This window comes from Homo sapiens, chromosome 10 (genome assembly GCF_000001405.40).
Source record: "Homo sapiens chromosome 10, GRCh38.p14 Primary Assembly".
Classification (NCBI taxonomy): Eukaryota; Metazoa; Chordata; class Mammalia; order Primates; family Hominidae; genus Homo; species Homo sapiens.
Window position 1 is genome coordinate 30816873 of NC_000010.11, and position 13446 is coordinate 30830318.

General features: G+C 48.9%; 1 long non-coding RNA gene across 1 annotated transcript, besides 2 other annotated features; it reads right to left on the reverse strand.

Moving 5' to 3' along the window:
* Positions 864 to 1785: an enhancer, noted in NCBI's record as "H3K4me1 hESC enhancer chr10:31106665-31107586 (GRCh37/hg19 assembly coordinates)". NCBI's record gives its function as "activates a minimal SCP1, AML or CMV promoter by ChIP-STARR-seq in naive H9 embryonic stem cells {active_cell/tissue: H9 hESC(naive)}" and the evidence as "EXISTENCE:reporter gene assay evidence [ECO:0000049][PMID:30033119]".
* Positions 1181 to 1230: an enhancer, noted in NCBI's record as "active region_3229". NCBI's record gives its function as "activates an Ori minimal core promoter by ATAC-STARR-seq in GM12878 lymphoblastoid cells {active_cell/tissue: GM12878}" and the evidence as "EXISTENCE:reporter gene assay evidence [ECO:0000049][PMID:35858748]".
* On the reverse strand, positions 3333 to 4441 carry LOC124902405 (uncharacterized). The gene is made up of 2 exons (XR_007062104.1): positions 4378 to 4441; positions 3333 to 3572 (listed from the first exon to the last, which is right to left on the reverse strand). It is a non-coding gene; the product is annotated as an uncharacterized LOC124902405 (long non-coding RNA).
* Between the last annotated feature and the right edge of the window lie 9005 nt (positions 4442 to 13446).

The following is a 13446-nucleotide window of genomic DNA, read 5'->3' on the forward strand; positions in this document are numbered from 1 at the left end:
TAATGTAAAACGTTCTATTTTCTGACTATGGCTCCAATCTGGTTTAGGCGAGAGGGCTGTGTACATTTATCACTCTCCTGCAGAGAGTAATAATAGTCCCTGGGACTTGGTGAGGGCTCATTATGTGTCAGGCACTATTCTAAGAACTTGACGTATTAACTCCTTTCACCCTGTGAGCCAGGGACTGTTACTACTCCCATTTTACAGAGAGGCTAAATCATACCCAAGGTCACACAGCCAGCAAGGTGTAGAGCTGGGGTTTCAAGTCTTTAACTCACTACACTGCCTCCTTGGGGAGAAGGTTTAAGACCTGTATCCTTTCTGGTCATATGCTCAGAAAACAAAACAAAACAAAACAAAACAAAAACAAAAAAAACACCAGACGTGTGGATTTTCAGCCAAATATTTTTCAGTATGGATTTATGGATTGAGGTTACCAAAAAGTCTCCTCTAGAGGCCGGGCACGGTGGCTCATGCCTATAATCCCAGCACTTTGGGAGGCCAAGGTGGGTGGATCACGAGTTCAGGAGTTTAAGACCAGCCTGGCCCAGATGGTGAAACCCCGTCTCTACTAAAAAATACAAAAATATTAGCTGGACATGGTGGCGGGTGCCTGTAATCCCTGCTACTTGGAAAACTGAGGCAGAGAATTGCTTGAACCCGGGAGGCGGAGGTTGCAGTGAGCCAAGATTGCGCCATTACACTCTAGCCTGGGCAACAGAGCAAGACTCTGTCTCAAAAATCAAACAAACAAACAAAGTTTCCTCTAGAATAACATGGGAATCTAAACATCTAGAGGACTCTCCAGGTGGCTGGGTTTTAGGTATGTGACCATGGCCCTCAAAAAACGAGACTGAGGCATGTGTCTGTGATCCCCGAGCCCCCCCACTGGGGAGAGGGCCAGGAGAGAGGGAGAAGGGAGCTCAGGAGTTGAGAAATCCCTTCTTCAACCTTCATCCTAGGGTTAGATGCTGGAGAGAGAACCAGTCCAAAGCTCTGTCCCGTGAGCTGCCAGGGAACCCCATGCATGGTACTGGGGTATTGGAGGGAAGCTGGTTCAACTCACTCCTCAAAGTCAACCCAACCACGGTGCAGAGGGACCCATTTTGTGCAGAACTGCAGTACTGTGCAGTTTTGGACCTGTCCTTTGGACCTGAAATCAAGGCAGGCTGTGGAGTCCACTCTGCAAGCTCTCGTGTCTGTTCATTGAGTTACCAGCAGCTTCCTGCCACTGGCCCGTGTAGCCCTTGGTCAACAGGCCATGACTACAGCTACTGGCCTGGAGCCAGTGCTGTCGACAGGAGGAAGTGGGCTGGGGCTTGGCTTCTAAGGCTGTAGGGGCTGATAAGTGGCCAAGCAGGACCCTGCTCATGCAGCCTTGACCCAGAGGCATCCCTGCAGGCTGGCGGGTGGAGGGGCTGACCTCACTGCCCTCGGGCTCGTCTGGCCTCCTCTGGCCTCGCCCTCTCTGGCGGGTCCCCTTCCCTCTGGGTGCTCCAAGTGCTGGTGAATCCAACCTGCTCTCTCCAGCCAACCCCTCTCCTCTCACCTCCTGACATACAACTGTCCACCTGACATGTTCAAACGTCACTGCCCCACCAGGCCTGCTCATCCGGCAAACTCCCCAGCTCAGCTGATGTAGGCACGGCTTTGCTAACCTCAGCTCCAGAGGTGGCGGGGGAGGAGGGTCAGCTAGGGAAGCCCCAGCTGTGACAGAGACACTTTTTCCTCCTCTCTCTAGATCTCAGGAAAGCTCAGAGACCCAGGACCCACCTAGGAAGGTGGCTGTTTTCAAGGAAGAGGGGCAGTTGGTAACTTGCCAGTCACAGACTGGACTGGCGGGGAAAGGTTGGAAACTCCTGAGAGATGGGCAGGTGAGGAGTCCCTTGGCCTCCCCCAGCACAGAACAGACAGCCACCCTGGTGTCCTCTTGTGTCTCTGCAATACAGTGAGCTCCTGAGGGCAGGACCTGCGTGAGTGGAGCTCGGAACCTCGCACAGGGCAGGTGCTCACTAAGGGCTTGCAGGCAAGCTAGGCAATGGCCTCTGGGGACACTCCCTACGACGCCTGCACGTTTTTAGCAATGAGCAAACACTCTGCAGGGGTGTCTGAGTAGAAGCTGTGGGCTCCCCAAATCTTGCCGCGTGGTTGGTTTCTTGGGATCCGCCAGTTCTGTTCGAGGGCAGTCAGCCGCGTCTGCCGCAAGGCTATTCCAGAGTGGCCCCACCGCTCCACCCACTCTGGGTAACTCATGGGCACACCCTGGAAACCAGAAAAACAGTGGAGCTCTGCCTGTCCCCGAAGGAAAGAATTACATTGCCGCAAGCAATTTGGAAAGGAGCAAGGAGCTTGGAAACTCGGAGCAAGCGGAATCATCTCCTACCGCCCCGCTTCTGCTCGGCTCAGGGCGCACGATGAAAAGGCTGAATTTGTCACATTTCCCCACACTCAGTCCCAAACAGGCTATCCCAGTCGTCTCTCCCTCCGGAGGAGACCCCTTCCCCTTCACAGCTCCCTTGCAGCTCTCTTTTTTTCTGCTAGCTTGCAGCTTTAAGGGGTAGGAGTCCGATTCTGAAGCTTGAAGCCTGGGCCACTTTTCCACAGGGTGCTTGGCATTGCCGGGGACCAGAACTGTAACCGCCCGGAGCTGTACGAACCTGCACACAGTCTCTGCCCAGCCGCCCAGAGTCCATCCTGGCCTTTCTCTCCAGTTTCCTCCCTTCATGGTCCCAGGCTTTTTCCCCAAAATGAGAGAAGTCCCCAGCTTGGAATCCCAGAGACCTGCAAAGCCGTAAGGAACGGCTCCATTTTGCATGACGCTAGTTAGCCAGCAGATCACTGGAAAACTCAACTACATTTCAAGCAAGCAAGTTGGAAAGAATGTTGGGCTTCCCTGGGATTTAATATGACAGGTTTCTGGCTCTGTGAATTTAGATAAGATTAACTCTTCATTCTTAAGGAAAGAAAAAAAACCCCAGCTCTCTGCAATATCAGTTTAGGGGGAAAATGTGCTGCTTTGAAAGCATCGAAGGCAGTCCGATTTGCACGTCCCCTCTTTCTGGGGCTGCATACTTTCTGTGTCTGATAATATGTTTGTTATACCTCGTCTCTGCCAGGGACACATACAGTAAATTGTCAGCTCAAACCATGTAATCTTTTAACCATAAGGTTCCAACATCTGTTGACCAGTTGTTGCATGGTTGAATCATTAACATGGCTTCTAATTTTACTCTTTGAATTTAACATAAAACATTTTAATGAGTATATGTAATTCATACTTTCCAACTTCAGAGAGTCCTGAAAGAGAAACCTATGCTTTTATAACCCAAGCCTCTGAAGTAAACAGTTTTATTTTTAAATCTCATTTCCTCCCGTTCCCCTTACACAAATGCATTATAAAACAGACCCATTGGACGTTATCTCCCTTTCCAAAAAAAAAAAAAAAAAATGCATTCAAATATTTGTCTAGGTTTCGGTGAAGAGTCCCCTAAGCTTTGTGCTCATAGGATATGTCAGATGGGCCCATTCTTCATTTGGAGATTAGATAAGGCTGTGAGCCCCCATTCCTCCATCTGTAAAAACAAATTGAAAACTGGCATAAGAAAGACAATCCCTGAGTCATGCTGGGAAAATTCGGTTTTAAAACTTGCTTTCGCTCTCATGCCTGTTTTTACTGAAATGAGATGGATTTAGTCATGGTTTGTTCCTGCCAACTGAGTTCACTTTTCCCATTTCCCCCTTCTCTGGGTATGCCTTCAACCTCCAGCCTCGAAAGTGACTGCGTTTGATTAAATGCAATTTTGGATTGAACTTTTTATTCAGAGACATTCCTCTCTTAATATATTTTGAGGTATTTTTTAGGAACAGACTCTAACAGGCCAGAGTAGAAATGTTCAATCCGATAACGTGTGTGACTGATAAAGCCCTCCCTCTAACAACTCCTTGCTATAGCTGTGTTTATCATTCACTAGCTCCTGGAGAATTTCAGAAGGAATCCCATGTTAGCATCTGCTTCCTCCTGGGGAATCTTCTTTATTTCTATTTTTTATTTTTATAGAGACAGCATTTCACTCTGTTGCCTAGGCTGTAGTGCCGTGGCGTGATCACAGCTCACTGCAGCCTCGAACTCCTGGTCTCAAGTGATTTCCCCACCTCAGCCTCCTGAGTAGCAGAGACTATGGGTGTGCACCACTACATCTGGCTAGTTTTTAAAATTTTTTGTAGAGATGGGGGTCTCATTATATTGCCCAGGCTGGTCTCGAACTCCTGGGCTCAAGTGATCCTCCCATGTCTCAGCCTCCTAAAGCACTGGGTTTACAGATGTGAGCCACCATGCCCAGCCCATGACACTTTCAAAGCAAAAGGCCTGGAACTAACCTTGCTAGTGTGGCTTCTTAACTCCTGTTGGAAGTCTCTCTCCTAAGAGACCTTCGACAGCAATGTCACTAAAGAACGACCGGAGTGAAATGCCTTTTGCTTGTGACAGATTAAAGAAATAGCTTCCTTTTGAGTCTCTCAAGTTCAGGCAAGTTCAGAAGCAAGATCACAACACAGCATTTAGTGTGTGGCCAGAGATAAGGCGACCCCAGTCAAGATAAGGTTCCTCTGTGCATTGGTGGCTTTGTGTTCAGTGCTACCAGTGACTTGGGTACTTTCTGGGAGTGTTACGAGTGACGTGGGTACCTAGGAGTGAAGCAGAAGAAAAGTGCTACCTCCTTGGCTCTTGCCTAGCCAGGAAAGAAAAATGACAAGCAAGTAAATTGTGTGCCTATGGCAGTAAAGTTTTCCTAACAAAAAGCTGAAGAAACTTTTCTAGATATTTTAGGGGGACTAGGGATTTACTGCGAATCTAGAATTATTGGGGGACAGCACTTGTAAAACATAATTTTCGAGCTAGGGGCCAGTGATGGGGCGGGGCTCCAGCAGGGGCTGGGTGATGGAATTGGGGAGGAATTTAGAAATCATCTAGTCCAAGGGCTTTCTTTTGAGATGAGGAAATGGAGTGTGCATGAGAGGTGTCACCCCCAGCAACTTTCCGTGTCAGAAATTCTCTAAAGAAGATTGAGGGAGAGAAGAGAAGAGATGGGTAGCCACAGGGGAAGGAGGAAGAGGGATTCAGAGAGGGGGCCAGGAGAGAGGGGAGCAGGTGAGGAGAGAGGAGGGAGTCAGAGGCGTCGGCTGGGAGGGAAGGAGCCACTCCCGCCCTCTGCAATCCATGGCTGAGCTTCGAGGTGGCGCGGGTTATTTCAGTTCTATCCCCTGAGCTCTTTCCCCTGTCCCTGCCCAGTGGCAGCACAGGCTTCCTCAGGAGGAGTTCTGTCTCCCTCCAGAGGAGCAGGCCTAATGCAGAAGCTAGAGCGGTGCGTGTTTCAACAGAACACAAAAGCAAATCTCTATGGAGATCATGCATGCACAATGACACAGCCCATAAACTGCTCCAGTGCCCTCCCTGCTGAAGGTATAAAGCCCCATCCTTGGAACAATTCACGTTTTTAAATAAACCCATGTTGGGTGCCACTGTGGCCATCTGCTGCGGCCTCTGTGCCATCCTCCCTGCTCTGCGGGACTCCTTAGCCACCCTCTGGTCCTGCTGGCCTCTCAGGGCTGGCCAGTGTGGGTGCAGGGCTTCTCAGGGGCAGGAGGAGCAAACAGTGGGGGCAGAAGGGGCCGCGGCGCTCATCACACTAGGAGGGTCCTGGGATGAGCCCGCGGCATCCATACCAAGCCAGAGAATGGTGTCCCCCTCACTCTGAACACCCATCGCCCCTTCTGAATCCCTCCAAGGGTGGCATTGACAACAGGGTGACAGATGGGTACTGGAAGGAAAGAGAACACAAAGGAAAAAGATGATCTCTCCACCCAGATGACCACAGGCACCTCAACCTCATCATGTCACAGGCACTCTCGTCAGCCTTCTCTTCGCCCAGTAGCCTCTAGGATTGCTGGTCTTTGTTAATGGTGTCACTATCAGCATGGCTGGACGTGGGGAAGTGGGCCCCCTTTCCTTCCTCTCCTTAATTCCTGAAATCCAGCTGTCCCCAGGCCCTGCTGCATCCACCTTCAACCCTTCCCACCTGTGTGTCCTTCTTGGTGTGCATGGCCCACACCCAGGAATTGTCAATCGACAATGTGTCTAATTCACCTCCCAGTTTAGGCCTCTGTCATTTCTGGCTTGGACTAAAGTAGCTGCCTCCTAAAAGCTTTCCTTGCCTTTGATGATCCAACCTTAACATTGTCAAGGGCAAACAAACAAACAAATTAATACATTTTGAGGTCAAAATATATTTTGGACCTGGAAAACTTTAGAAATCACAGCAGCGCAGGCCAAGTAGATCCAAGTCTCTGAAGTGGAAGCAGGCGCGGGGTTTTGAAAGCTCCCTCAGAGATCCCTGTGTGCGGCAAGGCTGAGGACCTGTGCTTGGAGCTGTCAGCACAGCCTGCCTGCTGTCCCAGCCCCCAGGACCTCACGTACTTAGCTGCTGCTGACAAAAAAAAGCAAAAAAGCAAAACAAAACTAACTAAACTAAACAAAAAAACCCAACCAAACAAACCAGGCTTATGCCCGTTGTCTCAACTATTTAGGAGGCTGAGGTAGGAGCATGGTTTGAGCCCAAGAGTTGGAGGCTTCAGTGAGCTGTGATCATGCAATTGCACTTCAGCCTGGGCTACACAGCAAGACCCTGTCTCTAAGATAATAATAATAAAATAATAATAATAATAATAATAATAATAATAATAATAATAATAAAACAAATTAACAAAACACCAAACAAATCCTGACATTCTACTTAAAAAAAAAAATCCCCCATGCTCTCCATGACCCCAAGGATAAGGTGGGACCCAGCTCAGCCTGTCTCCCCTGCACACACACCCAGAGCCCCCACAGCTCGTGTCATCAGCATGGTCCACCTCTGTGCCATCACCTGTGCTGCTGACTCTGTGCACAGGCCTCCAGGTCCCCCTTGAATGCCACCTCCTCTGGGAGTCCCTCCCCAAGTCTCCAGGGCAGAGTTAATCCATCTTTCCTCTGTTCTCCCACACACCTTATTCAAATGCCTGAGAGCCCTGTTTCACCCTGGCCTTTCCCTTTCTGGCTGCAAAGTCCTTGCCTGGTGCATGGAAAGGATGAAGGGCGGAGCTTGAGTGAGGGACTGGAGGACCAGATGGAGAATGCCAAGCCCCCTTTGAACTTGAGATCTCATTTCTACAGACCAGTCAACTCCGCCCAAGGCAGTGCTAATGAACTCTGGCCACACCCCAGAACTACCTGGAAAACTTCAAAAATCACAGCAGCACAGGCCAAGTAGATCCAAGTCTCTGAGGTGGGACCAGGCTCAGGGTTTTGAAAGCTCCCCCAGAGCTCCCCGTGTGCAGCAAGGCTGAGGGCCTGTGCTTGGAGCTGTCAGCAGAGCCTGCCTGCTAACCCAGCCCCCAGGACCTCATGTACGTAGCTGCTGCTGACATGGGCGTTTAATTTCATTGATTGATTTACATTTATTTCAATAGCTTTTGGGGTACAGGTGGGTTTTGGTTACATGGATGAATTGTACAGTGGTGAAGTCTGAGATTTTAGTGCAGCTATCACCTGAATAGTGTACATCATACCCAGTATGTAGTTTTTTATCCCTCCCCTCCATCTCCTCCTTCTTCTGAGTCTCCAATGTTCATTATGTCACTGTATGCCCCTGTGTACCCATCGCTTAGTTCCCACTTACAAGTGAGAATATGCGGCATTTGGTTTTCCATTCCTGAGTTACTTCACTTAGAATAATGGCCTCCAGCTCCATCTAAGTTGCTGCAAAAGACATTACTTCATTCATTTTAATGGCTGAGTAGTATTCCATGGTGTATATACACCACATTTTCCTTATCCACCATTGGCCATTGAGCACTTAGGTGGGTTCCATAACTTTACAATGGTAAATTGTGCTGTGGGTGCTTTTGACCAGGGATCGATGGTGAACGTGCACTGCACGTTTGTGTGCATTTGTGTCTTTATGTGTGAAGGAGTGGTGTGGGACGAGGAATGGGGACCGCACCTGCAGTTAGGAAACCTGCATTCTAGACCTGGCTGTGTGAACAAGGGCAGGAAAGATGAACTCCTCTTGCAGGAAATCTGTGTTAGATCCAAGAAGGCAGGAGGACACGTAGGGGACTGTGCTATTGGAAAGGAGCTCTGATTTTGTCTGTTTGGCATGTCTTCCTTGAGGGGGCCTGAGCCCACTCTCCATAGTGTGTATGTTCCCATTGGCTTCGGGTGGGGCTTTCTTTGTTCTAGTGAACAAAGTTCGAGTGAACCCAGGGTGGGCCTGTGAACTAGACTTGGACAAGAACGGGCACACCACCTAAACCCATGATCACCACCCCCCATGTCCTCCCTAGGACTTTGCTGGCCACTGGGGATGCCATCTCCCCTTCTGTGCAGTTGTGAGATATAGGACATGTTTGGGGCCACCAGCATCCATCCCATCTCTGCATGCAGGGTCTGCTTGGAGAATAGACCCAACACAGCCCAAACTTTGTCCCAAAGACATTTGGAACAAGAGATGGGACCTTGATAACGTCGTTTGAGTCTCTAGAGGCAGTTGCCTGAACATTTTGGGTGGGGTAGACCAACCTCTTGCCCACCCCCACATTATTTTTGGCTTGAGGTGGGCTGAATTGGTTTGTTGTCACTGACAACCTGTGTGGACTGATACACTGATACTTCTTAAGAAGCTCATAGCAAGAGATCCCTTTATTTCTAGCCATGGGCAAATGATGACAATCCCTTAAAAGATGCCAAAACAGGCCACTGGGAAGGAGAGTTGAGATAAACAACTGTACATTACATCAGCCAGTGCAGGATGAGACAGAATCTGGAGTTAGGATCAGTGAGCAGATGGAAAAGCTGGAAAGGAGGGATGGTGTCTAACTGGAGTGAGGAATGATGGAGTGGAGACAATATGGCAGCATTGAAAGAGGCAATATGGTGGCATTGAAAGAGGCAATATGGCAGCATTGAAAGAGGTAGCAAAGAGATACTTTATTCTGACTTTTTAAATCGTGCATTACTTGTGGCTCCTGGGTTGATGGTTTAGGTCTGGGGATGATTATAAGAGATAATTTTCCTTTTCTAAATATCTGCTGGTGACCCCTTTTCTCTCCTCTCCCGTTCTGCCACTTTAATCTCAGGTATCACATAAAGCCTTATCTTCTGGTTAACAAGCACTTTCTGAGCACCTCCTCTGTACCAACCTCAAAACCAGGCCATCAAAGTGCAAAAGATGCATTTTCCCAAGGAGCTCATTGTCTTGCAGAAGAGATCAATACACAAATGGCAACCATGACAAAGGACCCTAACTAAGCACAAGTCGATGTTTAAATAAATACACAAGCCAGTGTGGTGACTCATGTCTGTAATCCCAGCACTTTGGGAGGCCGAGGCAGGTGGATCACCTGAGGTGAGGAGGTTGAGACCAGCCTGGCCAATATGGTGAAACCCCATCTCTACTAAAAATACAAAAATTAGCCTGGCATGGTGGTGCACACCTGTAATCCCAGCAACTCGGGAGGCTGAGGCAGGAGAATCACTTGAACCCAGGAGGCGGAGGTTGCAGTGAGCCAAGATCACGCCACTGCACTCCAGCCCGGACAACAAGAGCAAAACTCTGTCTCAAAAATAAATAAATACACAGAGACACACAGAAAACTTACTTCAAAGTGTAGTCATCAAAAATGCAAATTGCACTACTCTAGAAAATTACTCAGGAAAGCTCAGCATTGTGCAGAACCAGCAGGAAGAGGCCATTTCCCAGCTCCGTGATGCAAACAAGGAGCTTTTCCTATGCTGTAGTGCATCAGCATAGGTTCATTGAGATTGCAACTGGAAGCTGGTAGGTCACTTTGCAAACACCTGCCTCCCCTTCTCACTCCTCACACCAGGTCACGGCAGGGTGCAAGCCCCTGCAGAGAGATGGATGAACGGATGATGACCTGGGACAGACATGCAGGCCAGTCTAGAGTTGTGTGTCTGTGATGTTGAGTAACCTCAGGTCAGGTGGCAGTGGGAGAAGGCAAGGAGGGCATGTCCCCAGGTGGCAAGAACACAGTGGGAGAGGCCTCTCAAACCCTGGTCAGGCTTTCCATCCCAAGATCCCCTCCCTGGGCCCCCGCCTGCTTGGAGACTTAGACTTTGGAAACAGCTGCAGACCGCAAGTATGTGGCATCAAGAGAGGGCGTTTTTGTTGGGGAGGCTTCAGTGTAATAATGGGCATATCTGTATGATGGGCTCTTGGGTTTGACTCTAGTAACAACTATGTAACCTCTCAGTGCCTCAGTTTCCTCATCTGTAAAGTGAACATAATAATAATACCTACCTCCTTATAACTCCAAGAGACATAATGAGATTAAAGGAGTTGCCATATGCAAAAAGCTTAGTCCCGTGCTTAGCACATGTGAAGCGCTAACCAAGTTCTCTATAATGACCTCCTGGGCGCTCTTGGACCGTGCAGAGTAATGACCACCCTCTTCTATTTTTGTTGTTGTTGTTGTTGTTTGTTTTTGAGACAGAGCCTTGCTATGTTACCCATGCTGCAGTGGCTCAATCATAGCTCACTGCAGCCTGAAACTCCTAGGCTCAAGTGATCCTCCTACCTCAGCCTCCCTAGTAGCTGCAACTATGGGTGCATGGCACCACACCCGGCTAGTTTTTTATTTTTTTGTAGAGATAGGCTCATGCTATGTTACTCAGGCTGGTCTCAAACTCCTGACTTCAAGCGATCTCCCACCTTAGCCTCCCAAAGTGCTGAGATTACAGGTGTGATCCATGTCCAGCCACCTTCCTCTAGTATGAAGGGTGCGATGTGGCCATCCATTGTGAGCAAGAGTAGTCACTACATGTGCATTTGTGATGGCCACTCTGGACACTGGCCAAAGTGGGTGATTCCCTTCATGTTTGTAAAAAAGCACTGAAATACCAACACCAAATGGTTAAACAAACCCAGATTGTTGTTGGGGATTTTGACGGAGAAAGGATTAACTCACTTTCAAGAGCCTTGGCTTCATACCAACATTATTTACTCAGCTGAGAACTGCCTTTCAACACTAGCCAGTGAGGAAGCCAGGCTGAGCGCTGGGGAGGCACCAGGGGAGGAGAGGGGGCCGACATGGATGCAATGCACAGCCATAGTGAGGTTCTCGGAGGGGTCTCTTACTCGGCCAGCCCTCTAACTGGGGTATGAGAGATGGGGGGCTTCACTTGTGTTCTGTAAGAAAGAACCACCTCATCAGGCACATAATCAGCAACCGATGTCGCCCTTGGGCAGCAGAGGCTTCCACCTGCTTACTTTTTCCAAATAGTTAATAGTGATTATTATGATTTAAATACTTCTCTTGCATCCCCAACAACTGAAGTGCAAATGTGTTAAGAAATGTTCTGGTGCCAGATCCCTGAGTTTCCAGAGGCTGAATGTGCTTCTTTTCATATTTGAAGCCAAAACATACAGAACCGGACGATTCTTTCTGCAAACTTGATAACGTGCCTGCCGTGGATGGACTTGCCCACGGTGTGTCTCCGTGAGCCTAGTCCAAGGACAGTTGTCACGGTACAGGCTCTACCACCTATACATCAGTGACCCTGCAGATGTGATGGCCTGCAGGGAGCCTCCACGGTGCAACCTCGATGGTGCTAAAGTGACAGGGGTGTGGTTGCATCAAGCATTCAGTCCAGTTCATTATTCATCAAACTGTTAGTTAGTGGAGCTCACGTTGGGCATTTCCTCTCAGCTCTTAAGAAGAGATAGTAAAATGTGAAGCTTTAATTTTTAGGAAAGATAGAGGAGCCCCATAAAAACACAAAATACCCTAGGATTATTGCCAGGGTTCACTGAGTACTGACTGTGGCCTTGAATGGTGTTAAGAGCTGGAAATCCAAAGCTGAAACAGCCTTCGTTCCTTGCCTTCAAGGAACTTGTAGTCTGTGGCATTAATAATTTCAGCCAGAATGAGGAGTGCTGGAAGGAGATAAAAAGGCATAACAAGTGCTGGGTGCCTGCCAAGGGCTGTTTCTCTTATCTCCCCCCACAACAAACTCTGACTAGTGCAGCCTCACCCCAGCCTACGTGAAAAAATGGAGGTGTGTGAAGCAGAATCACCCCCAGTTCACACGGATAGTAAGTGGCAGAGCCAGAATGCAAATCCAGATCCGTCTGTCTCCTGGGCTAGTCAGCCTTGCACAGGAGTCAGGGTTCCCAGAGCAAGGGGAGACGGACTCCCTATCTAGGGAAGCTGGGGAAAGCCACAAAGAGAGGGTGATGGTTGAACTGCAACATGAACTGACTCCCTGTCTCCAGATTCCTTTCCACTCATTTCCCATCTCCTGATGTCATAGGGGTCACCCCTGGAGAAGGCACTGGAGCACACGCCAATGGCCTGGCCTTGGATACTGAGGGATGCTGCTAGACAGGTGAGGTGCAAGAGATGCTCCTTGAAAGATCCATCCCTTCAGCCCAGAAAGAAAGGAAAGGCCATGAAACCTGGGCCCAATCCCTGGAGGAGGAGGTTGGTGGCTGGTAGCTGGGCTGCTAGGCAGGGGAGATGAGGAGGGGCGACCCTCGTTGCCATGACTGCATTTCTGGGCACAGCAGATGTGTCAATCCAGTGATTCTGAAAATGATCAACAATGTGTGCAAAGGGATAAGGGCTTTCTTGCAGCTCTGACAAATGATCCTTGAGGGATACGGATCAGAGCATAATAAATTCCACACATATCACTCTGATCCATATAAGGCAACTGCCATCATCCTGGTGGACAACATCGCTTGTGTGGGTGCTGAAATGTGCCAGGTGCTTTTCATGGCTCTTGACTGTGTTTTCCAGGCCTTGACCATGGAGGAGTACTCAACTAATTGGTTGTCTGATCCCCTGAATGAGAAAATGGCATTTTTCCATGAGAAGCTGTCAGCACCTGAGAGAAGATGGAACACCCAGGTGGGTCACAGGGTGACTGCCTGCCAATAGCATCCTCTAGCAAGGATGGTGCAAGCTGCTCCCTTTGGTGGGCAAGTGTCACCCAGGGTAGGGAGTGGTGCTACAGACTGAGTGACTAATGAGGAGAAACAGCCACAAAAAAAAAAACGCTCCCAGAAGGTGACATTGGGGTTCACTGTCCTGGGATTTGGCTCAGTGTCATCAACCAAAATAAAAAAACAAGAGAGCAAGCAGAAATCCACCAGCACACAGAGCTACTAAACATGACTCACCTTTAGAATGCAACTCTGGAATGTGTCCCATTTGAAGACTCTGATGGTAGTTATCTGTGAGATCAACAAAACATCTGGCCTGATGTTCGATGTTGAGAGTCCCAGAAGGAACAGAACAAGTACATATTGGAAAAGCATTTGAGGTCTGCCCTTAAAATTCCATAAGGGAGGCCCCCCTCGAAGGGTCTTCTTTGGTGGCATTTCT